We start from the raw sequence: 27,990 nt of genomic DNA on the forward strand, positions 1-27,990 counted from the left end.
GCATTTGGTATAGAGGAGAAAGACTGCAGTGTGTGTTCAGTCCACCATCTTGAAACTGGTGCTTTCCCTCTGTGTGTTTCCCGTCTGTCCCATCTTCCTCCACAACCCCAGCCCCAGTAGCAAATATCTGACCCTGTGACCACGGGCTCAGGAAGCTACCAAACCACCTTCTTAGGAAAAGGATTCAAAAGCTCGTGGTGTTGATTGGTTTTTGCCCCTGTTAGCCTTAGGATGTAACTTCTGGGGTCTGAAGTCCAGAGTCCAAAGCCCAGCTGCCCCACCCCTCCAAGGAGTCCTTTGCCCATGGAGAGTCCAGCATAGATTTTGTGAAAATAGACTTTATTATAATAAAATGTCTTTTTAAACAAATTCCCCCACCATTCCACACCCCTGGAGACCAAGGTCAAGGTGGGGGTTCAGTCAAACTATCTCCCACCACAGCAAAGGAAACATGCAAAGACACACTCACCCCTCAGAGGGTGGGGGATGGAGTGGATCGGGTAACGGCGGAGAACCCCTACCCCACTCTGAACAGGGAATGTATGAAAATAGCTGCATAAATCTGTCCTTTTCTCCAGCCCCTGGACTCCAACAGGGGTTAGAAGAAAACTATGCAAAAGAACTTGAATCCAATGAGCAAAATAAGGCAAACCCAACTCCGCTTTCGGCCCCGCTGGCCCCAGGGTCTTTGGGGGCGGGACCTTACAGGGGCCAGCAGGCCCCGGCAGGGAAGGATGGAGCACGACGGGGGCAGGGTGGGGCCCACTTTGGCTTGGCCTTTCTCCTTCCTGGGCCTGTGCAGTGGAAGCGAGGTGGAGGAAGCTGAACTGAGGCACTGAGTATATACATATATACAGGCTCCGCCCGCCTGCCCGCTGGGGAGATGGGGCTCCAATAAAATCCAGTGCAAACTTTCCTTCAGGGGAGGGAAGACAGGATCAGGACAGCCAGAGCCATCAGGGGGCACAGGCTCCTTTCTCCCTCCAGGGCCCGTCCTGGGACTGGGAAGGGTGGCAGAAGGGACTAGCGCAGCACTGTGGGACACTAGTAGACGAGGTGGGTGGACCAGGACGCGAGGGTCCTGGGTCCAGTCCTGGCTCAGTGACCTTGGTCAAGTTACATACTCACTGTGGGCTCAGTTTCCCCTCCTGTAGGAGGAAGGTGCTTCTCTAGAGAGTTCATCCTTAAGGAGCCATTTAGCTCTGACCTTCACCAAGGCTCTTTGATTCCCTCTGAATGCCACAGTGTTAACGCAGAAGAACGGGGGCTCTGGGCCCAGTCTGAGCCTTCCCTGCTCAGCAGAGACAGTGATCTGGGGGCCTCTCAGGGCCTCTTCTGCCTGCAGGATGGGCCACAGCTTCACTCCTTCTTCCCAGAGCCCAGCCTCCTGAGGAGCTGCTTCCCCTTGGAGAAGAAACCCCACACCTTCTCGCTTCTGCCCTGGGGCTCCCCACGTTCAATCCTGGGGGCGCTGCCAGAGCTGGGGGTACAAGGCCCACCTGGGGGCCCTGGGGACCCTTGTGTGGTGCAGCCCCAGTCCTGAAATGTGAGACAGAAGGAGCAAGGTCAGGGCCTGATTCCCTCCTGACCCCCTGACCCATTTTTTCCACAGCCTAAGGGGCCTGCAGCCTCCCATGTCACAGAACCATGGCTGACGCTGAGAACCAGGGCCTCACCTCCCACCACTGTCAGAAACACACAGCACAGGTGGTGAATGGGGAGGGTGATGCCGAGGGAGCACTAAGCTGGGAGTCCCAGGGGATGCAGTCTCGGTTCTGGATCGCTCACCTGTGACCCTGGGCAGGCCCCTTCCCTTCTCCCTCCAGGGTGCAGGGCTGACAGGGCCCAAGAGTTCTTGGAACCTGCCCCTCAGGATGGGTGCCCCCAACTTCTCACATGTCACCTCCCTCCAAAAACATGGAGCGCAAGGACAAGGACTGCTTAGAAGCAGCTGTCACTGCCCAGGAAGGTAGCTTCTACAGCCCCTCATAGACAGAAAGAGCGTCTCCCCAAACCCAGCAGATGTGGCCCCCCCAGGCCTTCAGGGTGTGGAGCCAGTACCCACTCCATGGGGAGGAAGATTGGGACTCTCCCTTAAGGGCCCCTAAGAGGACTGCCGGGAGGCCAAGGACCCAGAGGGACTCACAGCTGGGGGCATCACTCAGCCCCCACCACAGGCTCTGGAGGCTCTAGCATCTTTTTCCTTACTGAATCTCCTCCTGACTCCACTCCCTTTGCCTCAAGCCCGCCCAGACGGCGCTCCTTAGTGATCTAAGGCCAGGGAGCTGGGAGAACAGAGAAGCCACCAGAAAGCCCCCTACACCTATGTTCCCACCTTCACCTCTGGTACCTGCACAGCTCTGTCAGCTCTTGCCAGCCTGCATGTCTTCCCTTCCTCAAACTCCCACTTGCTGCCCGGAGCCTGGCAGGCTCCCAGCCAGAACCAACTATAGAGCCCAGGCCAGAGGCAAGGAAAGTGGGTGCACAACCGAGGCCCCACCCCCGCCCCAGGCCTGCAGTGATGTGGCAGGGCTGCCCACAGAGGCCAAAGCATCTACCCCCAACCAGCCAGAGCCAATAGCCGGCTGGCGAGCCCCAGGCCCTTCCCACTCCCTCTTAGGGCTCCTTCCACAACATCCAGGAGGGAGAGGTTGTTAGGGAAACAAAAGGAGGGTGTTTCTGAGCCCCAGAGAATAATGGTTTGGGGTTATTTATGGATTTGAACTACTCAAACTTCCCTTTTATTTTTTTATTTTTGAGACAGAGTCTTGCTCTGTCACCCAGGCTGGAGTGCAGTGGCGTGATCACCGCTCACTGCAGCCTCGACCTCCTGGGCTCAAGTGACTCCCACCTCAGCCTCCCAAGTAGCTAGTATTAAAGGCATGAGCCACCACACCTGGCCAAACCTCCCCTTTTATCCCCCAAGTAGAGAAAACTGAGAGTTGGAGGTAAATCATGCATCTGATCACCCTAACAGGTCACAATGCAGAGGACAAGGGTGGGAAGCCTATTATTACTGGTGGCATTACAGTGTCACCCTGGCACCAGTAATAATTATGATATTATAATACCATAGCCACACAGTATCATAATACCACTGATGAGTCCTAATATGGATGTCACGTCATGTTCTATAAACCACATGTGTTATAGAATAGGAAGCATCAGCTAATATGGGACATCACACACTAAGATGACATGTAATCCTATGACAGCTGGCACTGCCCTGGGTAAAGGCAAGGCAAGGGGAGCAGGGAGGGGGAGGGATGACTCTTCATGCAAATCTGGCTCATGGCAAGCTCTCCTTCGCCATTCCCTGGACTACAGTGGGAAAGCTGGGTCAGCTCCAGTATTTGAGACAAAGGAGCACTGTCTGATTATGGTCAAGTGGGGGTGGACGGTCACACAGGGGGGCAGTCCCCCACTTACATGTTGCTCTCTCTACATATATCTATCTCCATCTAGCACTGGACTCTTCTCCTCCTCGTTCTCTGAGGACAGGGAACAAAGAGAGGAGATGGGTTACCGACAGACCCGCACCTTCTCCGCCCGGCCACCAGGTGGCCCTGCGCAGGGGTGGGCCCTACTCTCCAAGGCCTTTGTGTTCACACATGGAAGCCCTGAGTTTTCTGGCTGGGGCTTGGCCTCTTCACCCTCTCTCCCTGCCCTCTGAGAGTGGAGGCTTAGTTGTATTCCACTCACCCCAAGGAGAGGCAAGCTCAAGGAACGAGAACCCAGGAAGCTGGGCCTGGCTGGGCAACTGGCTTCCAAAGGCACCTGGGAGGTATGGAGACCACCCCCAGGGTGGGAGTGTCCTGAAACAGGGACTTTGATTGGCCACAGGTGTGAGGCAGAGGGGTCCTTTTCCACAGGGCCCCCTCACCTGCGTCAGCCACCAGGTGTTGGCAGCTGGCGAGATGGCCTGAGGGTCAGGGTCACAGCTATCATCCCTCTGCAGAGAGGGGCACATACTGGGGGGCAGCTGCTTGGTGGGGCTCCCCTCTGGTGGTCAATTAGCGGCTGCACGCTGGACACAGTGCTTACCTGCATGACCACCCCAGCTGCACCCCTGCCGCAACACTGCCCTGGCCCTACCACCCCACCAGTAGGGTAGACTGCCCTGCCAAGCTGGGAGCCCAGCTCCTCACTGACCTGACTCTCAGCCTGGGGTGTCCTGGGTTCCCTGTCCAGGCCGCCTGCCTCAGGCCCAGGGCCCTCCAGGAAGTTGGATGGAACCAGGCCCCTTTGTCCATTTAATTCCCCCTGGAGAGAAGAGGCCGGTGAGACTGAGATCAGGAAAGAGGCTCTGGCCCTGCCCCTCGACTCTGATGCCCCTGGGGAACAGCTGGGGCCAAAACCACTGTCCAGGGAGGTGACCCGTTCCATTCCTCCGGACTTCCTGAGGGTTCCTTGCCTATCCCCCTGTCCGAAGTCTGGGGGGCTGGGATATGGTACACCCTCCCCAACAATGTTCTCACATAGTAGAAACCGTCATCGTCCATGCCCCCAAACACAGTAATGACATCCCCTGCCCGGAAGGGCAGCTCTGCCTGTGGAAAACAAGAGGAGGGCATCAGGCCCAGGAAGGCTCTGCCACCGCCCTTTGCTGGGCTCTATCTGAGGGTCCTCACCTCCACGTCCATATTGGGGGAACTCTCCTGGGGGTTGTAGTCAAATGCAGCCACCATGGAGTGGGGAGCTTTCAGGTCAGCAGAGGGGACCAGCTTAGGGGGGCCTGCAGGGGGAGTAGGAGAAGACTCTGGACTCTCTGGAGAGCCCTACACCCCATCCTGTCTTCTGCCCCGGACCCCTGCTGACCCCCTGTCACCACCTCCCCACTAGCTGTAGCCAATGGGGCGAGGCCAGAGGGGCCACCCACCCTATCTCCTTCCCCAGCCTCCCGGGCCCAGGGATATTCCTTCACCTGGACAGGGCTGGGCAGGGCCTTCCGACTCAGCTGTGGAAAGAATGTGCCTGTGAGCCCCCTCCCACCCTGCCCACCCAGGCTGCAGGTGCTGCAGCGCAGGCCAGACACTCGCCCACACACAAGGAGGCAGGCAAGGAAGGCTGCCGAGGGCGCATCTCCCCAACCCTTTTGTGTGGCAGTGAACTAACACCCAGAAAGGGTAAATGGCACGCTCTGGGATTCACGGATTTTATAGTCAGGTGCCTGTGGGAACAGAGAGCTCCACAAACCATCCCTCATCCCCACCGGAACAAAGCCCCCCATGGGGGGAGGCAGGGGATGTGGGTGGTCTGCCGATTCCCTTTACCTGCTCAAAAACCCAGAGGTGCCTCCCCAGACAGCCAAGCAGCGCCACCCACCAGCACACACATCCTCCCAGCACCTGAGAGAAAACAGACAGCCAAGCAGCGCCACCCCACCGCACACACATCCTCCCAGCACCTGAGAGAGAATGGGGTCTTACCCACCTTTCTTGGAGCGGCGGGGCTTGGGAGGAGGCCCAGTTGTGTGGGCTGTGGAGTACACAAACGGACCATTCCCTGATCCAGAAAAGCAGAGAGAAAGCGAGGCAGGGGAGGTGGGAGAGACAGGACTGGGACTCTGGAGTTTCCTCTCAGGGCCGTGCTAGGTTACTGAGCTTGTTTCGTAAGGGCATTCATCTCCCATCCCTGACAAGAGCCCCACCCAACCTCCAGGACCCAAAATTCCTGGCTGCATGGCTGTATTCCCCTCTGCAACAGACGCCCACTCCACGCGGCCAGCCCACGTACAGTCTGACCACTACGCAGCAGGGTTCAAGGCAGGCTCCAAGGCTCTGCTAGAGTCTGGGTAAGTGGGAGCACCCCAGACACAACAATTGCTCAGGGTCAGGTGGAGTTGGAAGGGGGCTGGTGGGAGGTGGGTGAGGGACAGCAGCAGGTCATACCTGAGCCCTCAAGGAGAATATCTGGGGACAAATAACCCCGCTGGAGCAGTTGCTGTCTCCCAGCAGGGCTGTCCACAGCCACCTCAGCCACCATGTTGCAGGGAATGTAGCCTGTCCGGCCCCCACCTTCGCCCTGGTAGAAGCCATCGGCATCCTTGTCCCCAAACACCTGGAGGCAAAACCAGTGGTCTCAGCCAGTTCTGCTCACTCCCTATGCCCCTAGGCCCCGAACCCCAGCAACACCCCACTTGGAAATGCAGAAGAATGTTCTCCCTTTTGTATGCCATGAAATGGGAAAAGGGGGAAAACAGCAAAGAACAGGATCAGAGGGATAGGAGAAGACAGCCCTTTCTGTATTATCCCCATTCACTGTCTACATGGCCATGCCCTTTGCCCACCCCAGAATGGATCTCCTTAGTCTCAGAGCAATAGCAAAATGCCTTTAATCAATACTTGGAGGAGTAATAAAAATAGTAATGTCAGCAGCAGATAGTTAGATTGTGCTGCCTATGTCTCAGGCAGTTTAAGCACTTTATGTACATTGGATCATTTAATCCACAAAACACCCTGTGAGGTAGACACTAATATTATCCCCATTTTACCAAAAAGAAAACTGAGGCCCAGGGGGCCTAGGTAATCTACTCAAGGTTACACAGCTAGAAGCAGCAGAGTCAGGTCCAAACCCATGTCATCTGCTCTAGAAGCCATGTTCTCCACCATGATTCTGTGCTACCTCCAGTGGAGGAAAGGAGGGAGGAGGGAAGACCCAGCTGGTGTTTGGAATTCTGAGCCCTGATGGCGAATCAGTCACCTTCAGGATCTGACCCTCTCGGAAGGGAAGCTCTTCTTCTCCAGCATCAGGATTGGGCGACATTGACACGGGGTCATAGTCAAACAGAGCCACAAAGATCCTGACGGGTAGGTGCTGGTAAGCCAGTGTTTCTGAGGGGCTCCTCGCAGGGACTGTGGAGACAGTGGAGAGGGCGGTGACGCAGCGAGCTCTGGCCGAGCAGCTCTAGCTCCAGCCCCATCAGGTGCTCACCTAGCTCTGCAGTGCTTGGCCTGAGGACTCGGACACCTCTCTTCTGGGGGCCCCTCCGCCCAGAGCCGTCCTGCCCTCTGGCCTCTCCGGTCTCTGTTGCCTGCAAAAAGAGGGCAACAGATGGCAAAAGTAACACACCATCCCTCTGGTGGGCTCGTGCTCCCCCAGCTCTGCCCCATCAGCGTAAGCAGCACAGCAGCGCAGGAGCACAGCATTCCTCTCCCGGAGCCTCGGCCCAGCCTGCTGGAGACCTCAGACACCCCCACAGTGGGAGGGAGGGCAGGAGGGGAGGCCCCAGCCCCAGCCTGCGAGTAGATGAATGGAGTAGAGGGGACTGGAGTTGGCTGAGGAGCCCGCGAGAGGAGGGCCTCCCGTCAGCATCAGGGCAGGTAACCCTGGACATGGCATCACAGTCAGCGTCCTGAAGCCATTACTAGCTATGCAGAGGAAAGGGCGACCCTGCCCACAGGCCGCAACAGGCGACTAGTGATAGAATATTGTGCATCCCAGTCCTGATCAGCAGAAGCAGCAAAGCAGTGGAATGTGGGTGGGAGGAGGCAGGTGAGGGAGCCCGGAGGCCCGGCCCCACCTCTGCTGATGGAGGCAGGCAGCGTGGAATGGGAGCTGCTGGTGGGCAGCAAGCAGGGCCACCAGGTGGCAGCAGGCAGGGGCTGCCCAGGGCGGGGAGTGAGCACGGACCCGGGAGAGTGGCTCCTTGGCTCTGCCCGTCGCACTGCGGCCTCTCCGCTCTGGTTCCCCTTTCTCCCAGGCTGGGAGGCGTGGGTAGGGCTTGGGGCCTGAATTGGCCTTCGGAGGCCCCCTGGGCCTTCCTACAGTTGCTGTGCCCCAGGCCTCCCCATCTCCAGGGTAGCAGGAGCTGGTGATGCTGATGCCCCCGCTGCCCGCCTCCTGCTCATCCTCCGAATCATATTCAATGCTGATTTCCAAGCACTTGGGGGAAAGGCAGCTGGCCAGGCCAGGCTCCAGCGCCCGGCCACGGGAGCACCTCCGGGAAGGGCCCAGCCGGCCTCTCCCGCTAGCCTCTAGTCCAGTCCTGGGGCCCTCAATTACGGGGAGGCCACCCCTCTCCCGTGTGGGGCCCAGTCGTCCAGAGGCCTGGGGCCCATTGTTGCTGAGAAGTCGGCTGCAGTGTTCTCGGGGATCTGGAGGCCGCCTGCGGCTTGGGGGCTTCTCAGGGGAGCCCCCTCCTCTCCTCCGGCTGCTTCCACCAACTAATCCAGGCATGTCTTCCAGGCAGTCTCCAGCCCTGGAGGACTCAGGAGACAAGGGACACTGGCCAGGTCTTCGGGGCTGACCACTGTCACAGCCCAGCCCCAGCAATGCAGGTTCAGGCGGGCCAGGGTCTCGGGAAGAACAGCCTGCCCCTGACTTCTCCTCCTCCTCGTCCTCCTCTTCCTCTTCCTCCTCCTCCGGGATGCTAAAGAGCTTCTTGCTACAGAACTGCTGGAGGGGCAGCTCCAGGATCTGCTCCAAGATCTCCTCATCGCTGTCAGTCTCACAAAAGGGGTCGGGCTGGGACTGGTGGAGGTGGGGAGGTGGGAGTAGAACACAGCAGGGAAGAGAGATGCGTGGGGAAGAGGAGAGCGAGCTGCGATCTTTGCCCTCAAACGAAGGCAGGGGTTACGGACAACCCCACAGCCCTCCCACGGCTTCCTCCGAGAGGAGAGAACCAGAGGGACGGTGGCTGGCCCAAATTCACACACATATCCAGTGAGAGCCAAAGGAAGAATTAGGGAACACACTCTAGGAACCATCACCAGCCCCTGTGGGACAGGAGCATTGAGGAGCAGGCCTCCCCATCCCCTCCCCAGAAGCTACCAGCACAAGGATCTTAGGTGGCACCGGCCTCCCCTGGCCAGGGCGCTGTATCTGGTGGGCTGGAGGGAGAGAAGGTACAGAAATGAACTCCTCCCCTTCCCCTTTCTTTCCAGGAGGGCAGGGGCCAATCCTGGGGCACTTCCTATCTTCTGCTTAGGACAGGGCCCAGGCCACAGACCTAGAATGTTTCTGGCACTCAGTGGTGGTCAGAGCACCTGCTGACACACAGTGGGGAGGCCCCGGAGTTTGAGGCCTGGGGCCCAACAGCCCATCCCTACCCCGTTACCTTGGCCCCATTCTCCCTGATGCTGTTGCCAGCAACCTGCTTCTGGAAGGAGCAAGTCCTGGAACCCAGCTCCTCTTCCTCCTCCTCCTCCTCCTCTTCCTCTTCCTCCTGGATGTCTGACAGGTCTGAGTTGCGGCCGTGGTCCACGAGGGAGTTCACCAGATGAACCCCAAGCTCTGCTGTGTCCTCCTTCTGCAAGAAGTGAGGCAAGGCAGGAGAGATAAGGACAGTGAGGGGGCACAGGGGGTTCCAGGCAGGGTCAGCCCCAGCCACAGTAACAAGGGTCCTTTGGCAGAGGGAGAAAGAGCCATGTCCTAAATGGGGGAGGCACACCATGGCTCAGGGGCAGGGTGGGAGAAGGGAGATGGGAGCCACATGGGACAGAGAAATCCTAGAAGAAAAACAGACACATAGCACAGCCAAAGGTGTGAGAGCAGGACCAGAGCAGAGGACAGGCAGAGAGGGCAACTGGATTTGCGCTGGCAAAAGGTAGGGAGACAGGCCTCAATTCTCTGAAGTGACACAGTGTGTCCCCAAACCCCTACCTCAGCCCTGGGCCTCAGCCCAGACCCTGGGTCTCCTCCTTGGCACATCTCGGTATTTGGCGCCTGCTGGGCCCGTGCTCCCTGGGTGGAGCTGGAGGCCGGACAGGCCTCTCCTGCAGTCCACTCGGCCTCCTGCTTGGCCAGTGAGGGAGCTGCGGGGCCAGGGTCCTTCTCACCCAGGGTAGATGTGCTGGCTGTCCTCTCCTCTGAGGTGCCCAGCACTGCTGCCCCAGCCTCCTCCTGGAACAGAGAGCACTGAGGAAGGACCCAAGCCCAGGTCCCTCTGCCAGCCTGCACCTGCTCCCCTCTCCCCAGACAGGGTACCTGGGAGCAAGGTGCTGGAGGGTCCTCGTGGGACCCTTTTGCCATCTCTCTGGAAGGGCTTGCAGGGGGTGCTCCTGGAGGCTCTTGAGTTCCAAGGGGAGCAGGGTGCTGGAGAGGAGAGCTGGGGTCTCCAGGCCCTGGGGAGGCTGAAGCAAGGGGCGCTCTGGCCTCTGGGCTTGGGTGCGGTGAGGGGCAGGAGACTCGGGCTGGCAGGCTGGCCGGAGCCAGGGCGGGAGTGATAGGAGCCGGGATGGAGTCCGCCGACTCCCCGTGGGGCGACATGGTGCGCACGACCACCTCACGACACACCTGCAGCAGCTGCAGCTGGGACAACTCCACCAGTACACTGCCTGCCGTGGGTGAGGCCACCTCCATGATCTGCAGGGTGGAGGGGGCACAGGATGGGAAGCAGAGGCTGAGACAGCCAAGCGTGAGGATGCACTGACAGCAGTGGCAGCTAACTGACAGCAGTGGCAGCTAGCATTACGCCAGGTACTGTGCTAAGCCCTCTGCATGGCCTATCTCATTTCATCCTCCTGGCCATATGGCTTCAGTGATGGAACAGTTCTAAAATCTGTCATGTGCTGCCAAAGCCCATGCTCTTAACCCATCTGCCTCATGGTACCCAAATGCCAGGGGCTGGGCATCTCCGTGCCAAGCCAGAGAGCCTAGACCTCTGAGCATAGCAAGAAGGGACCCACCCCCACTCCCAGGGTACAGTGGGCAGGGCTATACCTTCTGCCCATCAGCGTAGATGGCATAGCCTGTGACCCGGACACCGTTGGATGTGCCAGCAGCATCGATGGTGACTGGGAGCCAACTGATGATCAAGATCCCAGGGGAGGGCCCAGGCTCGATCTGCACATCCAGAGGGGCATCAGGTGGGCCTGGGGGCAGGGGGGCACAAGACCCAGTGATGCAGGACGCTCCCCATCAGAGATACCTGCCCAATTTGCTATTTCCCTGATAACGCAAATAAGATCAGGGTCCCCTTCTTCCGTCACCCATGGCCTGGCCTCCTGGGTGTTCTGGACAACAGGGCCCAAGCCCACATACCTGCTGGGAGTGTGGTGAACTGCAGGGTGGCAGCCCGCTGCTCCAGCCTCTCCCAGCCTGGTTCCCAGGGCCCTTGGGGTGGGAGCTGAGCCTCCACTTGGGCCTGATAGGGTGTGCCAGGCCGTAAGTGGCAGAAGGTGGCCCAGTAGGTACTGGGGCTGGCAGGTGGGCACTCTTCCCCATTGAGGTAGATGGCATGGGCCAAGTTGCTATTGCCGGGCACCCAGGTGATCTCAGCAGATGTGGCTGTCAACCGATGGACCCGCAGCTGGCTGGGCACCACTCCGGCCCGGGCACCCACCGCCAAGCAACAGCGCAGTGGGTCAGAGCTGCCCCGGCTAGTCAGGGCCTGGACAGAAATGTGAAGGGGCCCGGCCCACAGGTCCAGGTTCTCCAGCACGGCCTTGGGTGGCGCCCCAGGCCCCAGGGCCTGTCGCAGCTCCCCATTCACACAGATATGGAAGCCGTGTAGCTCCACTTGCTCAGGAGGCGGCTCCCAGGCCAGCACCACGCTGTGGGCCAGCTGCTTGAGGACCACCAGACGGCGGGGGTAAGGCACGGCAGGAGGCTCGCCCAGGCCCTCCGGTGATGGGCTCAGACTGAGCTCGTCCCCTGCATCCTCCTCCTCAGGTCTGGGCTGGCTCCTTCCCACACTGCTTTGGCCCCCGCTACTGCTGCCACCCCCACCTACACTCAGGAAACTGAGTTCAGGGCCTGAGCTGTGGGACAAATCGGCCAGCTCTGGAGGGAGGGAGGTCAGGAGGTCATCATCCGACACACGCTCTACAAAATTGGAAGGGACCAGGCCCCTTCGGCCATCCATGAGCTCTCCTGGCAGGAGGAGGACAGGAAGGGGCAGGGCAGGGGAAGACAGAGAGGAGATAAAGAAAAAACGGTATAATAAATGCATTTTAGCAACTGCTAGTGGGTGATCTTCAGCATTTGATTCAAATCAACATTTAACTGTCAATTCTTTTAAAAGACAAGAGCAGTAAAGATCTGGATTAGAGATAGGTCTGATAATAGTATTTTGGTTCTATAGGACAGTGCTTCTTCAATTTTAACTTGCATATGAATCACCTACAGATTTGTTAAAATGCAGATTCTAACTCGGTTGGGTCTGGATGGGGCTGAGATTCTGTGATTCTAATAAGCCACCAGGTGACACTCAAGCTGCAAGGATGGAGGAGAATATCATGTTCTAAGTAAGCATGTTGAGTATTTCAAGGTAAAATATCATAATGCTTTTAAAATCATGTTTAACCTACATATAAAGCAAATATGCCAAAGTTTTAACAATTGTTGAATCTAGGTGCTGGCTATATAAATATTCAAATATATTCTGTACATTTGAAAACTTTTGTGTTAAAAATTGCAATAATAATTTCATAATTTCATATTAAAGTTTTAAAAAATAAGCAGGTCAGGATAAGAAAACTGGCCAGGCATGGTGGCTTATGCCTGTAATCCCAGCACTTCAGGAGGATGAGGCAGGCAGATCGCTTGAGCCCAGGAGTTTGTGACCAATCTGGGCAACATGGCAAAACCCAATCTCTACAAAAAATGCAAAAATTAGCTGGGAGTGGTTGCACGCCTGCAGTTGCAGCTACTCAGGAGCCTGAGGTGGAAGGATTGCTTGAGCCCGGGAGGCAGAAGCTAGAAGTCATAATCGCGCCACTGCACTCCAGCCTGGGCGACAGAGCAAGATGCTGTATCAAAAAAAAAAAAAAAAAAATTCTGCTGGTTGGGTTTTACCTGGGCCTGAGGAATAGGGGCCAGGGTGCCCCTCAACTTCTCTTTGTGAACAGCAGACATCCACAGAGGGAGAGAGAGACAACCAACTCAGCAGGGTAAAGGAGGAATCTTTAGAGACAAATGAAGTAAGTGCTAGTGAAATAGTCACTTGTAAGTTCTAGAAGGATCAGGAGCCCCAGCAGGCCTGTGTCTAGCAGCATGATTGACAGCAGTCAATCCAGGCAACCACCAATGGTTATGTTTTGTTACCTGCATCAGTTCTCCTGAAGACTTGACAAGAGAGTATTTTAAAACATTTGCTGTTGTTTGATTGAGGGATGTCAAGGAAGCTGGGCACCCAGCATGTAATGTCACGGTCAATTTAAAGAAGAAAAAAAGGTCTCAGGAAACAGACAGCTGGTAGCTGGTGTGCTTTATTGAGAGGAAGGGGGAGCACGAGCCAGGGCTTAGGGGAGAGGGGTGAGTGTAGGCAGGTCTGAGCTGCAGGGGGGCCTGGAGTTTCCCCCAACAGTCATCTGTGCCCCTCACCTCCACCCTCTCTCTCTCTGCCTATGCTAGGCAAAAAAAAAGTAAGGAACTTGAAGAAACAAGAGGGACTGTCAATAAATTCACTGATATAATAAGCACTGTAGAGGGTTGAATGGTGGCCGCCCAAAAACATGTCCATGTTCTAATCCCCAGAACTTGTGAACATGACCTTATTTGGAAAAAGCGTCTTTGCAGATGTAATTAAGTTAAGGATCTTGAGATGAGATCATCCTAGATTATCCGGGTGGGTCCTAAATCTAATGACAAGTGTTTTTATAAGAGACATGCAGAGGAGAAACACTAAGAGGAGGAGGCAATGGTGACCACAGATAGAGACTGGAGTGAGGTGGCCATAAGCCAAGGAACAACTGGAGCCACCGTAAGCTAAAAGAGACAAGGAACGGAACCTCCCCTAGAGCCCCCAAGGGGATGCAGTTCTGCCAATACTTTGATTTCAGACTTCTGGCCTCCAGAAGAGGCCAGTGAGAGAATAAATGTCTATTGTTTCAAGCCACTCTATGGTAATTGCTCCTGCAGCCCTAGGAAACGATCATAAGCACCAGCACTGTGGAGTGGGAGACAAAGGCAGGAGTCTTCACACTAAGAGGATCTCCAGCCTGCAGGGCTGAAGCTGGAGCCTGGGCCGGAGTCAGGCACATGCTCCAGAAGCCCATGCAGCTGAGAACAGCCTAGGTGGCCCAGACATAGACGAAGCAGTCCTTTAGCTAAGGTTGGACAGGGAATACGGCATCTTGCCCCCGGTGGCATTTACATCTATCCCAATTTATCCCAGATCGCAGAGTTCAAATTCTAGTCATTTGTGGTTAGTTAATACTTATGCCTTTGCTGCCCCCTCCAAAAATAAAGTGTTTGGGTTTTGGTTTTTGATTTGGGTGGGGTTTTTTTTTCTTCATTTATAAAGTATTATTTTCCTGAAAGCTTTTTAATTCTGATCTTCATAATCTACCCCTGTAGGGAGTTTAACTGTTTAGGCCACAAAGCCAGGTACCATGGGTCTCAGCAGCTCCTCAAGTAACAGGCAGAGGACCCAGGGAAAAGAAACTGAGCAGGCTCCCAAGCTTCCAGGGTTACAGATTCAGAGCTAAGCCTGTTCCTAAATCTCTACACACAGCTGCGGCTCTCGCCCTGCCCTGTCCATGCCCCATCCAATTCTCTACACAGTGCCATCCTCTCTGCTGCTGATGGACTCAGCCTGGTGGTACCCAGGCCAGAGCCACCCTGAGAGAGTCTCCCAAGGCCATGTCTTCCGCAGGCCCATAGTGCCCAGTCTCAATGAGGCATCTGCCTTGAGTTGCCTGATCAGCCCTCTGACTCCCCACAGGAGCTGCAGAACCTCCCTGAAGCAGACACCCTGCCTGGGCCCTGACAGCTGCTAACCGCTTGAGAACACCTTCCCCTGGGATCTTTACCCTGATTCCTCCTTCGCATACCTGACTGGAGTCCAGCATCAAATCTGTGCTGCATACCTGACCTCAGGTGTCACTACTGTGAAACACTGCCACGCCCTGACTATCCACACAAAAATGAATCTAGCCAAAATCTCCTGTGACACTCTCTCCACCATCTGGACTATGCTGTCCTGTCCTGCTTGGAGCCAGACTCCCTTCTTTCTCTTTCCCCAGTGGCTACTAGGTCTCTGTATGCCTTTTAGCTGAGACCAAAAAGTTAAGGTGGGCTGAGCACGCTGGGCAGAGGGGATGGATGGATGGATGGATGGATGGATGGATGGATGGATGAATGGATGGATGGATGGATGGATATCCGTCTTTGGGAACATGGGCTCAAAGGCAGGGGAATGGACAGAATGACCCCCCACTACATTCCTACCTTCAAAAAAGCCATCCTCATCCATGTTGCCATAGATGTAGATGTACTCGCCAGCTGTCAGCGGAAGCTCTGCTTCTGGATTCTCATTGGGACCCTCAAAGGGGTTGTAGCTGTTAGGGGAGGCACAGAGGAGGAGGAGGAGAGTGACCTACACTCCACTTCCATGTCCTGTCTTCTCTCTCCCACTGCACTGAGCCTTTACGGAGACTTGGTTGTGGTTGTCCACCACCAGCAAAGCTGAGCCCTCACTGCACCCACCTTGGCCCAACTAGGTTATTAGAATAGGTCCATTGTGTCCTGTACTGCCCCCACCACTTCCAGAGGTCTCCAGCTCCACCCGGCCCCCTCCTATACCCCAAATGCTGGGGCTGGGCTAGGGGGCAGTGAGGGTGAGGGACCCACCTATAACGTGCTAGGAAGACCTGGATCCTGGCTCCTCCCCGGCTGCCCTCTGGCGCAGCTGGGAGCAGGGAGACACTGTCTGCCTCCAGCTCCTCTACCTCACTGGCTGTGTCCACCTGGGGGCAAACAGAAAGGGCTGGTTTCTCTTCAGGGCCTGGGGCCAAGCGCCAAGCAGGCAGGTTTCCAGGCTGAGCCAGAGGACCTATTGCTTTAAGGAGGGAAAATGAGCACATACATGCTGCACAGGAGCAGTGGCAAGGACCCCCTGATGCTCTCTAAATTAGTGCCTGAGAGAGCAGGTCCTGGCAGAGCCCAGCTGCCCTGGGCAGGGGCAGTGGGGATAACCCAGACCCCTCCCTGAGCCTCTACTGCACCCGCCAGGAAATAAAGCCACTTCCCTCATCTCAGAGGGGCCCAGGCCATGCTGGTGTGGGGAGTGGGTGTCAACAGAAGTTTGGTTTGGTTCCTTAAGGTAAAAACTCAGCAAAGTTGCCAGGTGCAGTGGCTCGCGCCTATAATTCCAGCACTTTGAGAGGCTGAGGAGGGCAGATTGCTTGAGCCAGGAGTTTGAGACCAGCGTGAGAAGCATAACAAAACCCCATCTCTACTAAAAATACAAAAATTAGCTGGGTGTGGTGGTGCATGCCTGTGGTCCCAGCTACTTGGGAGGCGGAGGTAGGAGGATTGCTTGAGCCCAGGAGGCAGAGGTTGCAGTGAGCTGAGATTGCGCCACTGCACTGCAGCCTGGGGGATAGAGCGAGGCCCTGTCTAAAAACAAACAAACAAACAAACAAAAACAAAGAAAAAAGAAACCCCTCAGCAAAGCACCCCAACTGTAAATCGCTGGAAGCAAGGAGGCAGAAAGGAGGCAGAAGGAGCTTGAGGGGTCCCTGCTTCTAGCCGAGTGACAGTGTGTCTGCTGTTCAGCTCTGGAACTCAGAACTTCCCGTCTACTTGCCCGGCCCACAGCCCAGGGCACCGCAACCTCAGGGCACCCCAATTCTCTGACCCTTGTTGAGGTTGCTGGGGTAGCCTGGGGAACAGGCTGTCTTCTCTTCTCTGCCAATGCCTGGGAGAAGGGGACCAAGTGGGCAACCTCTCCACAACCACATCCAAAGCTGGCACCATCCTTCTATCCCACGAGGGGGCAATAGAGGCCCAGGGCTTCGTTCTACCACTTTCTGAATGTTTGGCTCTCAGAGCTGCTTCTGACCTGCCTCCTCCACCTTCTGGGGTTTGTGGGTAGAAAGAAGGATGAGTTGACGACCAGAGCTATGAGTGATGCCCAGGAGCTTAGTAATAATAACAGCTGCCCCGTGTTGAGCACACATCCTGTGTGCCCCACACTGAGACAGGCAGGTTCCGTATTCATTTAACTCTCACAACAACCTTAGAAGGCAGGTTTTATTAGCTCCAAGATTCAGATAAGGAAACAGAAGCCCAGAAAGGCTCAGTGACTTGCCTAAGGCAAAGCTGGGATTTGAATCCTGGAACATGTGCTTTCTCATACAACCACCTGCTTTCACTACAGATGCTCTTAGGAACAGTCTCATTATGCAGATCCTGGTGCCCAAGTGTCTCCTCCATCCAGCCCAGCACTCCAGAGCCTCCCTGGGCCTCCCAGGGGTGGGCTGGGGTGGCCCCAGGTGGGGCTTGCAGGCAGGCAGTGGAGGGCAGGAAGGGCTCCACCTGAGCGCCTCGCCCACAGGAGGAATCCACAGGCCTCCCACCTCCCAACTTGGGACCCCAGAAGTTGCCACCCAACTCCTGGGGACCCCAGAAGAGGTCAGGGCCACCTGCCCTGCACCCTTCCCCAAGCCAAAGCCAGAACTTCAGGCCCCACCCCAGCAATTACCTCAGGTGTAGGGCATGACTTGGGGCTGTTGTGGATGGACTCGGAGTGGGAGGAGTTGGAGAGAGACTCTGCCTTCTTGGCTGTCCTTCGAGGGACCCCAGTGAGAGTGGCAGGGGCAGGCTCGGAAGACTTTGGGGTGCAGCGCCCAGGGGAGCCCGGCGGGAGGTCAAGGTCTAAAGAGAAGATGGCACGTGGGCTTGGGGTCTGTGGCCTGAGGAGGGACCAGGAGATAGGGTGGTGCTTCTTGGATATGGGGACCAGGCCCTCCATAGCCGGGCTTCCTTACAAAAAGGGAAATATTTAGAGAGAAACTTACTAAATAGAGGTATAGCTGATTTACAAATACTATTTCACATGATCGTCAAAACAGCTTGATGAGATGCATTTAATTATTCCTGTCTTACAGCTTACGAAACTATGGCCCAGAGAGGTTAAGCAGCATTCTCAAATCACAGTGACTGTCAAGTGAGTGGAGCTGGGACCACCGGATCCGACTGACCCCCAAGCCCCCACTCTGCACAAGGCCACACTGCCTGCTACTGACTCCTAGTGCCCAACCCCTAGGTCTGACCATTCAGGTCCTTTTGGAAGGAGAGGAGCAGTGGCCCACGATGCCTGGGCCAGACTCTGGGACAGTCACTCCCCTGGGCTTTATTTTTCCCCAACAGAACGTGGTTCTAGCCAGGCACAGCTCTAACCTGCTGTGTGACTTTGGATGAGTTGCTGGCCTTCTCTGATCCTGAACTCCCTGCTCTATCCAAAAGCCCAGGCCTGGGGATTCCAGGCCAATGCCACTGGGGTCCACCTTACCTTTGGGGCCAGACCCCCGGCAAGGCTGGGGAATGGAGCAGCAGCAGGGGGGTGGTGGGCAGTCTCCAAGGCTCCCACAGTCCAGGGCAGATGTGAGCAGATCCAAGGGGCCCGGGTGCAGGCGGAAAGCCTGGAGTTCCTGTGCCAGGAGGCTGAACTGCTCGGTTTGGCTGCGGCACTGTTCTTCGAGCTCTCGAACCCGGGCCTGGGCCAAGACCCACCATGAGCCGCCAGGCCCCTCAAAGCTACCCAGTGCCAGCCCGTGCCATCTGTACACAGCCCTACACTGGGTTTCAGGTCATATCCATCCACCCAGCCCCAGGCCTGGGCACCAGCCTTGCCTTGGCCACCCCACTGTCCTTAATGCATCAGAGCGGAGGGTGAAGTCCTGGGCTGTGTCCTGGGACATCTTCACCCCAGCCCCCTCCAGAGCCAAGGCCGGGGCCTGCCACACACTCACCAACCCTCAGGCCCTAGGCGATGGCACCTCTGCCTCTGGCTGCTTTCTAGGCCAACAGGGATCATTCCCACCCCATCATCACCACCATCACCGCAGGAGTTTTCTCAGCTCCACTGCTCATCACCCTCCCACAATCAGCAACTCAAACCCGTTCCCTGAGAGAGGCGGGCAGGAAATTCCACAGGGGAGCCAGGGATGTCTTCGTGATGGGAATGGGCCAATGCCCGGGAAGTTTTCTCAGGTCTGAGGAGAGTCCCAATAGCAGGGGCTCTCTCCGGCCACTATGGCGAGGCTCCTAAGTTAGACTGGTGATGAACTTCCTCATGATCAGGGTGGCTAGAGAGGGGAGGCCCAGTGTCTGACAGACACGGCGGCAGGCCTGGGACAAGGGGACAGCCGCACGTGTCCTGTGGGAACTCCACCCCCTATGGATTCTCATGCCTGCTCCCAGTGACACCCCCTCTGCTGGATGAGAGAGGGGGACTGCCTGGGCCCTGAGGGAGGAGATGCAACTCAGCCAGCCTGGAGAGGTGTGGGGAAGTGGAGAACGAGGCGCTACCTGCATGGAATCCAAGGTAGACTGTTGCAGGAAAGGAAGCAGAGAACAGGTTAGAACCCTGAGCGCTGTGGGTTGCTAACCCAGAGAGGGAGGCGGAGAAGGGGGCCTAAGTGGATATCATCCAGTCAGCTCCCTGGACTGACTAGCAGTTCCTAAATGGAAGGATATCTCAGGGTGAAGGCAGCCTCTGGGGGTGGCAGCAATGGGAGACTGCTGCCACCAGACTTGGGAGCCCCCTGCCCAGCCGTGCCCACCCTGAGAAATAGGCCAGTGGTGGAGGGGACTCCCCCAGGTCCTGGAGCATTTAAGGGCCCCTCCTGCAACCCCTCTCCCCACCGCCATAGTCCATTTCAGCTCTATCTGGAGGACCCCCGCCTTCCTCCCAAGATGGTGGAACTGGGGGCCACTTCCAGGCGCCCTACCTCCAGCAGCTGCACGGCTCCTTCATGTTCCCTCTGGGCTTCAGCCTGGGCCTACAGGTGGGGGGAACCAAAATACTGGAGGGAAGGAGAAGGAATGGGGTGGAGTAGAGAGGGCTGCGAGGGAGGAAGGGTAGAAAGGACAGAGGCAGGGGAGGAAGAAGCCGGGAGAAAGAAAAGGGTAGGGAGAGAGGGAAGAGGGATAGGGAAGGGGGAGGCCGAAGGGTTTCTCCCTCCTGAACACCCACCCTGAACCATACCTTAGACCAGAAGGCAAAGGGGACCAGGAGAAGCGTGGCTGAGTCAGCTCCCCTCTTTCCTGAGCAACCATCCTCCCAGTTTCCCCCCTACCTCTCTGGATGCTCCTTCTCAGCCTCTTTTGCCTGCTCCCTGTCCCCCATTTTGAATGTTAGGGTTACCCTGGACCCAGTGCTGGGCCCAGTTTATATTGTCTACTCTCTTCCTAGGGCTCCCATCTACTCATACAACTAAACACACTGGTGGCTCCAAATATCTCCAAGACCAACTTACCCATAACCCCAGGCTCATGTATCCAAGTGCCTGTGGACAGCTCCCCTTGAATGTTTAACGCGCAGCTCAGACATGGCCCAAATGGAACTCAGCACTCGGGATGACCTACCTCTCAGATCTGCTGCCCCTTCATCCTTCACCTCACGGAGTATGAAGAGCCCCACCCTCCACCAAGGTTTATACAGCAAATGGCTGTCAGAGAAGGGATTCAACTGGAATCCCACGGGGATCCTTGTCAATTCTTTTTTTTTTTTTTTGAGATGGAGTCTCGCTCTGTCGCCCAGGCTGGAGTGCAATGGTACGATCTCAGCTCACTGCAAGCTCTGCCTCCCGGGTTCAAACAATTCTCCTGCCTCAGCCTCCTGAGTAGCTGGGACTACAGGGGCCCGCCACCATGTCAGGTTAATTTTTGTATTTTTGGTAGAGACGGGGATTCACCATATTGGCCAGGCTGGCCTCGAACTCCTGACCTCAACTGATCCACCCACCTTGGCCTCCCAAAGTGCTGGGATGACAGGCATGAGCCACCATGCCCGGCCAGAACCTTGTCAGTTCTATCTCTAAAACATAACTCAAACCCAGGCACTTGTCTCCCGTTCCACTGCATGCATCTCTGTCCAGACAGCCACCATCTCCCTCCCAGGCCACCGCCCAGGCCCTGCTCCACGCCTGCTCCCACAGTCCACCCTCCATAATACCAGCCATGTGATCCTGTAAAATTATGACTCAGATCATGTCACTCCCCCACTTAGGATCTTTCAGGAGCTTCTATCTACTCACAGAGCAAAATACCCAAACTCTTCCCATGGCCGTTAAGGCCCGACAGGATCGGGTTCTTGTCTACTCCCACCACGCTGCCCATCCCTTGCTGTATTCTAGCCACATTGGTCTCAGGCTTCTTCAGCTCTTCCCTGCCACAGAGCATGTGCATGTCTACACCTCCTGGCTGGCAAGGTCAATTGTCACCTCCTCAGGGAGGCCTTCCCTGATGACCTCTAAAGTGGCTCCTCACCCCATCCCAGTCACTTTGTCACATCACCCTGTTCTTCTCCACCACTGTGCTCATCAGTGTCTGAAATCAGCTCACTCCTGGATGCTAATTTGCTGACTGCTCAGGGACCTGGTCTTTGTTCCCCACAGTCTCCCCGACGCCTAGCACAGTGCCGGGCACACAGTAAATGCTTGTGGAATGAGTGAGTGGCAAAGCTGGTGTCCAGCAGCCTGCCAGCTTCCCTCACTGCCGCCCCACCTGCTGCAGTCTCCGGACCTCCTCCTGCTTCTCCCGTAGGCTGAGCCGAGCCTGTTCATGCTCCACCTCCAGCTGCTGCCGCCGCTGGGCCACCTCCCGCATGTGCTGAAACACAAGATCTGAGTCAAGGCCAGAGCCCCTACTTGGCCATTTCTAGAGAAGATCTAAGATGAGGAAGCCTCAAACACCATTTGCTCCAGATTCCTCTATTACAAAGGAAACTGAGCCTGGAGCAGCTCCAGGCCCAGGCCTCAGAGCTAGTGCCCCTCACTAAGAATATTCTGCTGTCCCACTTGCTCCCCATGCCAGGGCCCAGCACCCTCTCCCACCTGCACCATCTCCTCACCTTCAGCACTTGCTCCAGGCTCTCCAGCTTGCTCTGCAGGCCCTGGCTCTTGCGAAGGGCTGAGTCCCTCTCCTGTGTCACCCCCAGGAGCTGGCCCCTCAGCTCCGCATTCTCCCACTCCACCTGGCGAGGGGGCAGTGACAGGGAGTTGGGTGGGTGAGCCTTGACCCACCAGCACCCTCACAGGGGGAACAGTACCCTACCCCTGCTCAGGGGTGGAGGAGAAAGCCCCTTGGCTGGGGACCGGGGCAGTGGTGGGAGCACAGGTCTCCACAGCACCTGGGCGGAAGTGGTACCTGCTCCTTCTCTGTGGCTCTCCCACTGAGCCGGGAGTTCTCCTCCACCAGGCGGGCATTCTCATTCTGCGCTTGTCTCAGCTGCAGTTCCTGAGCGGGCAGAGGAGCTCTCAGGAGGGAGCCCAGCACCCACATTCCCCCTCTCCCCACACAGAGGACCCTGCCCTCCTCCCAGGCAAGGCCTTCCTCCCCTGCTGGAACCTGCACCAGCCAGGAAAGGAAAGGAGCAGGAGGGAAAATGTGTTCTTGAGGGCAGCAGGGGTGGGAGCAGAGCTGAGAGGGAGCCCACCACCTGGCTGGCCGGGGTGAAGGGAGGAGCTGGCCTCTGGGTTGCCCTCAAGAGCTCACCAGCTCCTCACATCGCCTCTGCTTTTTCCGGGCTTCCTGCTCCAGGCTCTCGCATTTCTTCCGCTTCTTGCTGAGCTCCGATTCCTGAGGGGTCAGAACCAAGTGCTCCTCATGAGGGAAGGTACATCTGCCCACAGCAGGCTGCCTCCAGCCCTTGACCTAGGACTTACCAGCTGCTGCACCCTCTGCTCTTTCTCTGGCTCCCCTAGAATCACGGGTAGGTTGTCCGCATCCTCCTGGGGCGTGGCCTGGAAATGCCCAGGGGCAAGGGGCTGGCACCTGAGAACAGGGCCCCAGGGCAGCCTGCCCCAGCCCAGCCTGCCCAGAGCAGGTTCCCACCCCATCATTCAGCCAGCAAGAGATCCCTGCCTAGCAAGAGCAAAGAGGGGTACTGTCTGCCCACCCACCTCCCATTGTCTCCAGCTGATGTGTAAGTACAAAGGCTGCACCCCTGTGTCCTGGAGCCATAAGTGCTTTGAGATCCTGGGACCCACGTGTGCCCTGGGAGATGGGTCCTTTATCCAGGCCAAAGCTTTCCCTTTTTAGCTTCCAGCAGCAGCCCTGCTCTGCACTCAATAACTGTCCTGGGTGTCCTTCAGCGACTGGCAGAGAACTAGGAGGCTGCCTGGGCCCCCGGGGATGTGGTGTTCCCCAAGATAGGGGTTCTGTATCATCCAAATCTGGGCTTGGCCTAGAGCAGCGCAAGTCCAGCCAGACCCTTCTCCTGGCTTCCCCCAAGCCCACCCTACCACACCTTCCGATTATCCGTGCAAACTTTGGGGGAGGACAGGTCTTGATGGGAGGGTGCATCTCCCTTCCAGGGCCAGCCAGGGAGACAAAATCTGAGCAAGAAGCCTCCCCCCACCCGGAGGTCTTGGTCACTATCAGATCACTGCCTGGTCTCTCCTCCCAGCCCTCTTCCCAGAAGGAGGAGGACCTACTTGCTGCCTACCTAGGATGATGGCGAGAAGCCAGACCCTTAAGTTCTGGGGGTCCTAAGCGGGTCCCTGGCCCTCGAGACAGGGGCTGCCTAAGCCCCCCGCTCAGTGAGGGTTGCCTGTACCTGGAGCCGGGGCGGACGCACCGCCGCCCCCGGGTAGCTGGGGCCAGGCCTGGCCAGCCAGGCGGGCGCTGACGGGGGCGTCCCCGCTCTACGGCGGCGGCGGGAGGAGGCGGCGCGGGCTGGGCCCCGGGCGGCTGCCAGGACAACCAGGGATTTGCGGCCGGGCCGTACCACTGGCAGCGCGGCAGGGGCGGCCGGCCAGGCCCCGCTGGGCGCAGGCCTATGGAGGGCGGAACCCTGGAGCCCCCAGGGGAGGGCACGGCGCAGGTACGAGCACGGGAGGCTTGGAGGTGGACCCTGCCCAGGACGGGAAAGCTCCCCAGCCCCTGGGAGTGCGCACACCACCACTGAGTCCTTGGGGTTCTGAGCACGGTGCAGGGGAGATCCCGGTGGTCGTTCCCCCCACCCATCTGCACGCACCCACACACCTGCCCTTGCGCCGGCGCTCACCTCTCCCGGGGCCCCGGGAGCAGGCGCCCCTGCTCTGGCCTGGAGAGCAGGGCCCGGGGGCCAGGACGGCGGGAGCGGGAGCGTCTCCCGCTGGTTGCGCAGCGCGATCTGCCTCTGCAGCCGCAGCACCTCCCGCTGGGACTCGCGCAGCAGCCGATCGAAGTCCCGCACGTGGAGCCACTGGGGACCCTCCTGAGGTTGGGGGACAGGGACAGGGAGGGGACTCAGGCCTAATCCTTGCCCGCCCCATGCCATCCCCTGCAGAGCCCTTCGCCTTGCTGGAGGGGCTCCGATGCGCGAGACTGTGCACACCCTCCCATGGGTACATGCCTGGTTACATGTGCATGCGTATGTGGCCACATGCTCCCGCGAGCCCCTATGCGGTCATTCTCAGTAACTTATTTCTTGGGTGCTCTCAATGTGCCCAGCACTGTGCTAAATACCTTGTGAACATCCCTTCACACAGGGGATGTGTGGATGCATACAGCCAGACCCACCGGCAAACAGCCTCAAGCCTGGAGCACAGAAATGCCCAGGTCTGGGACTCATGGCTCCACCCCCTTCTCCCCTCTCCCACCTGGGCCGTTGCCAGGGGAACCTACTCCCAGCAACCTCCACCCTCCCTTTCATTTGCGTCTCATTAACATCTTGTCTGCATCCCACAACAGGCAGATGGCCCTGTGCAGGGCTGAGCTGGAAGAGGTGACCAGGGCCTCCTCGCACCTTGCCCACCAGAGTGAGCCTGGCCTGCAGCTCCCTGCACTCCCGCTGCAAGGCAGCAATCTGCTTGTCCTTGGCCAGCAGTGCACTGGCTGTCTCACTGAGGTCCCGGGCTCGCTGGCGGGCTAGGGCCTTCCGACACAACTCCAAGCTGGTCCCCGGCCGGGGCAAGGGGGCACTCACCTAGCCAGAGGAGGGGTAAGGCCAATGGTCACCTGAGGGCTGGGGCACTTCTCCCACTCCTCATCTCCTCCCAAAGGAGGAGTTAGCATGAAAACCTAGGGGGGTAGCCACCTGCTTCCACCTTGACTGGGGTCTCAGAAAACCAGCAGCCTCACTCTACCCCATCCCAGCAGTTGGAAAGGATTAACTCTACATCTGAGTTTAGGATCAAAGGATGCTGCTAATTTGGGGCTGCCACTGTGATGGGTCTCATCCCTGCCCCCACTCCAGCTCTATACCCTGAGATGAGCTCAGCAGAAGGCTGCCGCCAGCACCAGCACGTGGTAATCCAGAATCCTGCTCCCTGCCTGCTCAGGAACCTCCCCATCCAGCTCTTCTCTGCCCCCTGCAGCTCCAGAAACCTTTGGCCTCCTTGCCTGGCCAGCCTCTGCCCTTCCTGCACCTTAGCCCCTAGATTCTTGCTTTCCTAGGTGCTGAGCTGAGACCGTGACTCCCAAGCTTCAGACAGCCCTCAGGCCCAGCCCTGGCTCCCCTCTTCCTTGGTCACCCAGCCTCCGCCCAGCAGCCTCCTTTCCTCACCACCCTCAGGTTCGTTTCCTGCAGCTTTCGGGCCCTCTCCTCCAGGCGCTTGGCAATGACCGCCAGCTCGGCGTTCTTCCTCTTCAGCCTCCGCACCTTCTCTTCTGTCTCAGGGAAGCTGCTCTTCCTCTGACAAGGGGTCAGGCAGAATTGGGGCATGTAGGGAGCACCCCACAGACCCAGTCCTAACAGCCCAAGTCTTGGGCTAGAGCCCTAGGCTCACAGTGGGGTCCTTGGCAACTCTAGGCAGGGGTTCACCCTCTCTGGGTCTCAGGATTTTGTCACCTCCATTGAGCCCCCACTTGGAAAGATGTTCATGGGGTGAGGAGGGCACTGAGGCAGAGGGCCTGGCTCCAGCCAGAACGCAGCACCCCAGTCTCCAAGCCTCACCAGCATCTGGTTTTCCTCCTTAAGGATGGCACAGCGCTGCCGCAGCTCCCCCAGGGCCCTCAGCAGCTCCAGATTGGGCCTGTCCCCAAAGCTCATATTCAGCTTGGCCTGGCATGGGAAAGGACCGAGGACAGCACCTCAGAAACCCACGTCACCCAGCCAGAGCCTTCCCTGTGGAAGCATCCACCATCCATGGTCCAAGGAGACATGGAGATGAAACGGTTTCCCCTATGTCCCAGGCCTTCAGAGAGGAGCAGAGGAGGCCTAGGAGAAGGAACTGTCCAGTCCTCCCTGTCCACATAGACACCCCCAAACCTGGCACCCTCCTGCTCCTCCCTGATCCTTCCCATTCCTACCCATCTTCTCCTCCAGGGACATGCGAGCTCGAGCTCCCACTCCCATCCCTCCAGACTCCCCTGCCCTCCCCCAAAGTCCTGTTCCTTCCCTCTTCTACAGGAGCCTGCTCACACCCACCCCAACCCTGCCTCAGCCCAGCACCAAGCCCCCTCCCCTCAATCTACTTCCTCTGCACTGATTCTCTGTGCACCTCCACACTCCCCCTGTATCCCCCAGCCCCTAAGGACAGACAGACTCATGGAAGAAGAGACACAGACAGACACACTGTCAGGAGGAGGCACAGAGAGGGACGGGGCAGCAGCAGGGCCAGATCTAGACAGACAGGCAAAGAGGGTCAGAAGGACAGACAAATGACGAAAGAAATGGAGCCCCTCAGATTTCTGCTCGATGAAGAGAGGACAGATAGCCACAGAGATGGACCCACAGACAGGCCAAGAGAGGACAGGTGGGCATTGGGGATGCATACCTCGCCTCACCTCCTGGCCAGGCTGGAGGACATGGTGAGAGACCCCCACCTTGCAGACCCCAGCCCTCCACAGATCCCTTACCTTCAGGAAAGCCTCCACTTCCTCATCCTCTGGCCTCTGGCAGGCGGGTCCAGAGCTGGATGCTTGCTGGCCCAGGCTGGGCAGACAAGCCTCTGCTCCTTCAGGGTCAGTTCCCCCCACGGGCCTGGAGCTCCCGTCTCCTTTGGGCTTGGAACTCTCCTCAGACCTCAGTTCTTGAAGCTGCAGAGCTGCCGGAGGAGTATCAGCGATGCTTGGGGCTGCACTGCTAGGTTCACCCCCTCGACCTGGAGTCCAGCTATGCCAGGTGGGCAGTGCCCATGGCTCCATGGCTCCAGGGTCCCCAGGCCGTGGGAGGGTTGTCAGTTGCTCCATGGTACTGCCAAGGGGCCCCAGAACCCGGGCCGGGGGACATCACCCAGCCAGGTGGGGGGACTGGCGAGGGTCATGCCAGGCCAGCCCCTCTCCCCTCTGAGCTCTTGCTTCACCGACGCTCCATCCAAGGTTGGCTGAGCTCTTCCCCACCCACAAAGGAGGCTGCAGAAGGCGCCAGGGCTGCTGGAGCTGGAGCCAGGGGTATGTGAGCTATGTTTGCTGGTAGCTGTGTGTGTGCGCGAGTATGTGGAGGAGCGAGGGTGTCCCTGTGGGGGTAGGGAGGATGTGCAGAGGCCACCGACAGCTGCGCCTGGGTGAGGGTGCGTGTGTGTGTCTCCAGGTCTGTCCGTGCAGGTCAATGCTGTCTCATGTGTTGGGAAGATGGGTGCCCCCACTTCTGTGTGTTGAGGGGGGTGGTGCTGTGTGTCACTGTCTGCCCATTTCAGAGTTGCCAGTTGTTTGTGTGTGTGTGTGTGGGTGTCTGTATTGCAGGGCTGTGGCAGTATGTGATGCTGTCCCTGGTTGTATCTGAGTGTGTCAGTGTCGTGCAGCTGTGTGCATCGGTGTCGTTGTGTGTCTGTCAGTGTCTGTGGGTCTGGCCGTCTGTCGCAACCCCTCAGCCCGGCCAGAGGCTTCAGGAGCTGCTGGGGGTGATCCCCAGTGGTCCGCTGTGGTCCTTTATCTCCGGCTCTGCTCTCTGCTGCTGCTCTTTCGCTTGCTGGGTGGCTGGGCTGGTCCTAAGGAGGCCTGGGTCGATGGGCTGCTTGCCTCATAGTCTCAGCCCCTGCTGGCCTCTGCTCTGGGGACTGCAGGGGTCCCTTACAGTCCAGGAGCCTCGAGATGGTGGGCTCCGAGGAGGGCTGAGCCTCAGAATTGGGTGGGGGGGTGAGCCGGGAAGAGCCAGCCCTCCCCTCCTCCTCCTCCTCCTCCCCTCCCACCCACCAATAGGAAGTCGGCTGCTGGTTTCCATGGTGATGG

The 27,990-nt window shown here is 57.8% G+C and overlaps 1 protein-coding gene and 1 long non-coding RNA gene across 4 annotated transcripts in view, besides 12 other annotated features; one reads left to right on the top strand and one right to left on the bottom strand.

Annotated features, from left to right (window-relative positions):
* Positions 1-322: 322 nt before the first annotated feature.
* TSPOAP1 (TSPO associated protein 1) lies at positions 323-27,887 on the bottom strand. Of its 3 annotated transcripts, none has more exons than NM_001261835.2 (32): positions 26,680-27,887; positions 25,775-25,882; positions 25,385-25,513; positions 24,626-24,805; positions 23,903-24,094; positions 22,560-22,637; positions 22,390-22,473; positions 22,042-22,131; positions 21,746-21,868; positions 21,400-21,504; positions 19,623-19,673; positions 19,201-19,221; positions 18,182-18,386; positions 17,372-17,544; positions 15,517-15,632; positions 15,115-15,224; positions 10,984-11,814; positions 10,663-10,814; positions 9,928-10,305; positions 9,604-9,843; positions 9,059-9,250; positions 7,633-8,472; positions 6,934-7,033; positions 6,703-6,854; positions 5,892-6,060; positions 5,434-5,478; positions 4,925-4,957; positions 4,632-4,735; positions 4,479-4,550; positions 4,153-4,263; positions 3,430-3,491; positions 323-1,539 (listed from the first exon to the last, which is right to left on the bottom strand). In NM_001261835.2, the coding sequence occupies exons 1-31, from the start codon at positions 27,010-27,012 to the stop codon at positions 3,462-3,464; spliced, it is 5,547 nt and encodes a 1,848-aa protein (NP_001248764.1). In that variant the 5' UTR covers positions 27,013-27,887; the 3' UTR covers positions 323-1,539; positions 3,430-3,461. The 3 variants fall into 3 exon arrangements, with proteins under 3 accessions (NP_001248764.1, NP_004749.2, NP_077729.1); NM_004758.4 differs by having other exon boundaries at positions 5,434-5,505; NM_024418.3 differs by lacking the exon at positions 24,626-24,805 and having other exon boundaries at positions 5,434-5,505.
* Positions 1,467-2,087: an enhancer, noted in NCBI's record as "H3K27ac-H3K4me1 hESC enhancer chr17:56379736-56380356 (GRCh37/hg19 assembly coordinates)". NCBI's record gives its function as "activates a minimal SCP1, AML or CMV promoter by ChIP-STARR-seq in naive H9 embryonic stem cells {active_cell/tissue: H9 hESC(naive)}" and the evidence as "EXISTENCE:reporter gene assay evidence [ECO:0000049][PMID:30033119]".
* Positions 3,420-3,714: an enhancer, noted in NCBI's record as "tiled region #10051; HepG2 Activating DNase matched - State 4:PromP, and K562 Activating DNase unmatched - State 5:Enh". NCBI's record gives its function as "activates a minimal TATA promoter and a strong SV40 promoter by Sharpr-MPRA in HepG2 and K562 cells {active_cell/tissue: HepG2 | K562}" and the evidence as "EXISTENCE:reporter gene assay evidence [ECO:0000049][PMID:27701403]".
* Positions 8,627-9,326: an enhancer, noted in NCBI's record as "H3K4me1 hESC enhancer chr17:56386896-56387595 (GRCh37/hg19 assembly coordinates)". NCBI's record gives its function as "activates a minimal SCP1, AML or CMV promoter by ChIP-STARR-seq in naive H9 embryonic stem cells {active_cell/tissue: H9 hESC(naive)}" and the evidence as "EXISTENCE:reporter gene assay evidence [ECO:0000049][PMID:30033119]".
* Positions 11,228-11,846: an enhancer, noted in NCBI's record as "H3K4me1 hESC enhancer chr17:56389497-56390115 (GRCh37/hg19 assembly coordinates)". NCBI's record gives its function as "activates a minimal SCP1, AML or CMV promoter by ChIP-STARR-seq in primed H9 embryonic stem cells {active_cell/tissue: H9 hESC(primed)}" and the evidence as "EXISTENCE:reporter gene assay evidence [ECO:0000049][PMID:30033119]".
* Positions 23,440-23,689: a silencer, noted in NCBI's record as "silent region_8761". NCBI's record gives its function as "represses an Ori minimal core promoter by ATAC-STARR-seq in GM12878 lymphoblastoid cells {active_cell/tissue: GM12878}" and the evidence as "EXISTENCE:reporter gene assay evidence [ECO:0000049][PMID:35858748]".
* Positions 23,810-23,879: a silencer, noted in NCBI's record as "silent region_8762". NCBI's record gives its function as "represses an Ori minimal core promoter by ATAC-STARR-seq in GM12878 lymphoblastoid cells {active_cell/tissue: GM12878}" and the evidence as "EXISTENCE:reporter gene assay evidence [ECO:0000049][PMID:35858748]".
* Positions 23,920-24,009: a silencer, noted in NCBI's record as "silent region_8763". NCBI's record gives its function as "represses an Ori minimal core promoter by ATAC-STARR-seq in GM12878 lymphoblastoid cells {active_cell/tissue: GM12878}" and the evidence as "EXISTENCE:reporter gene assay evidence [ECO:0000049][PMID:35858748]".
* Positions 24,147-24,695: an enhancer, noted in NCBI's record as "H3K4me1 hESC enhancer chr17:56402416-56402964 (GRCh37/hg19 assembly coordinates)". NCBI's record gives its function as "activates a minimal SCP1, AML or CMV promoter by ChIP-STARR-seq in primed H9 embryonic stem cells {active_cell/tissue: H9 hESC(primed)}" and the evidence as "EXISTENCE:reporter gene assay evidence [ECO:0000049][PMID:30033119]".
* Positions 24,542-27,990, top strand: part of TSPOAP1-AS1 (TSPOAP1, SUPT4H1 and RNF43 antisense RNA 1) — a 28,278-nt gene continuing 24,829 nt past the window's right edge. The window contains exons 1-2 of the long non-coding RNA NR_038410.1: positions 24,542-24,820; positions 27,142-27,213. This is a non-coding gene — a long non-coding RNA (TSPOAP1, SUPT4H1 and RNF43 antisense RNA 1). The remainder of the gene's footprint in view (positions 24,821-27,141; positions 27,214-27,990) is intronic.
* Positions 26,270-26,329: a silencer, noted in NCBI's record as "silent region_8764". NCBI's record gives its function as "represses an Ori minimal core promoter by ATAC-STARR-seq in GM12878 lymphoblastoid cells {active_cell/tissue: GM12878}" and the evidence as "EXISTENCE:reporter gene assay evidence [ECO:0000049][PMID:35858748]".
* Positions 26,730-26,889: an enhancer, noted in NCBI's record as "active region_12463". NCBI's record gives its function as "activates an Ori minimal core promoter by ATAC-STARR-seq in GM12878 lymphoblastoid cells {active_cell/tissue: GM12878}" and the evidence as "EXISTENCE:reporter gene assay evidence [ECO:0000049][PMID:35858748]".
* Positions 26,940-27,049: a silencer, noted in NCBI's record as "silent region_8765". NCBI's record gives its function as "represses an Ori minimal core promoter by ATAC-STARR-seq in GM12878 lymphoblastoid cells {active_cell/tissue: GM12878}" and the evidence as "EXISTENCE:reporter gene assay evidence [ECO:0000049][PMID:35858748]".
* Positions 27,760-27,829: an enhancer, noted in NCBI's record as "active region_12464". NCBI's record gives its function as "activates an Ori minimal core promoter by ATAC-STARR-seq in GM12878 lymphoblastoid cells {active_cell/tissue: GM12878}" and the evidence as "EXISTENCE:reporter gene assay evidence [ECO:0000049][PMID:35858748]".

This window comes from Homo sapiens, chromosome 17 (assembly GCF_000001405.40).
Source record: "Homo sapiens chromosome 17, GRCh38.p14 Primary Assembly".
In the NCBI taxonomy this organism is placed as follows: domain Eukaryota; kingdom Metazoa; phylum Chordata; class Mammalia; order Primates; family Hominidae; genus Homo; species Homo sapiens.

Coding starts and splice junctions, on each gene's coding strand:
- TSPOAP1 (NM_004758.4), bottom strand. CDS start 27,012: ATGGAGCAACTGACAACCCTCCCACGGCCTGGGGACCCTGGAGCCATG. Junction 21,505..21,745: donor GCCTGGAGCAAGTGCTGAAG/GTGAGGAGATGG, acceptor CTTGTGTTTCAG/CACATGCGGGAGGTGGCCCA. Junction 10,306..10,662: donor TCTACGCTGATGGGCAGAAG/GTATAGCCCTGC, acceptor TCCACCCTGCAG/ATCATGGAGGTGGCCTCACC.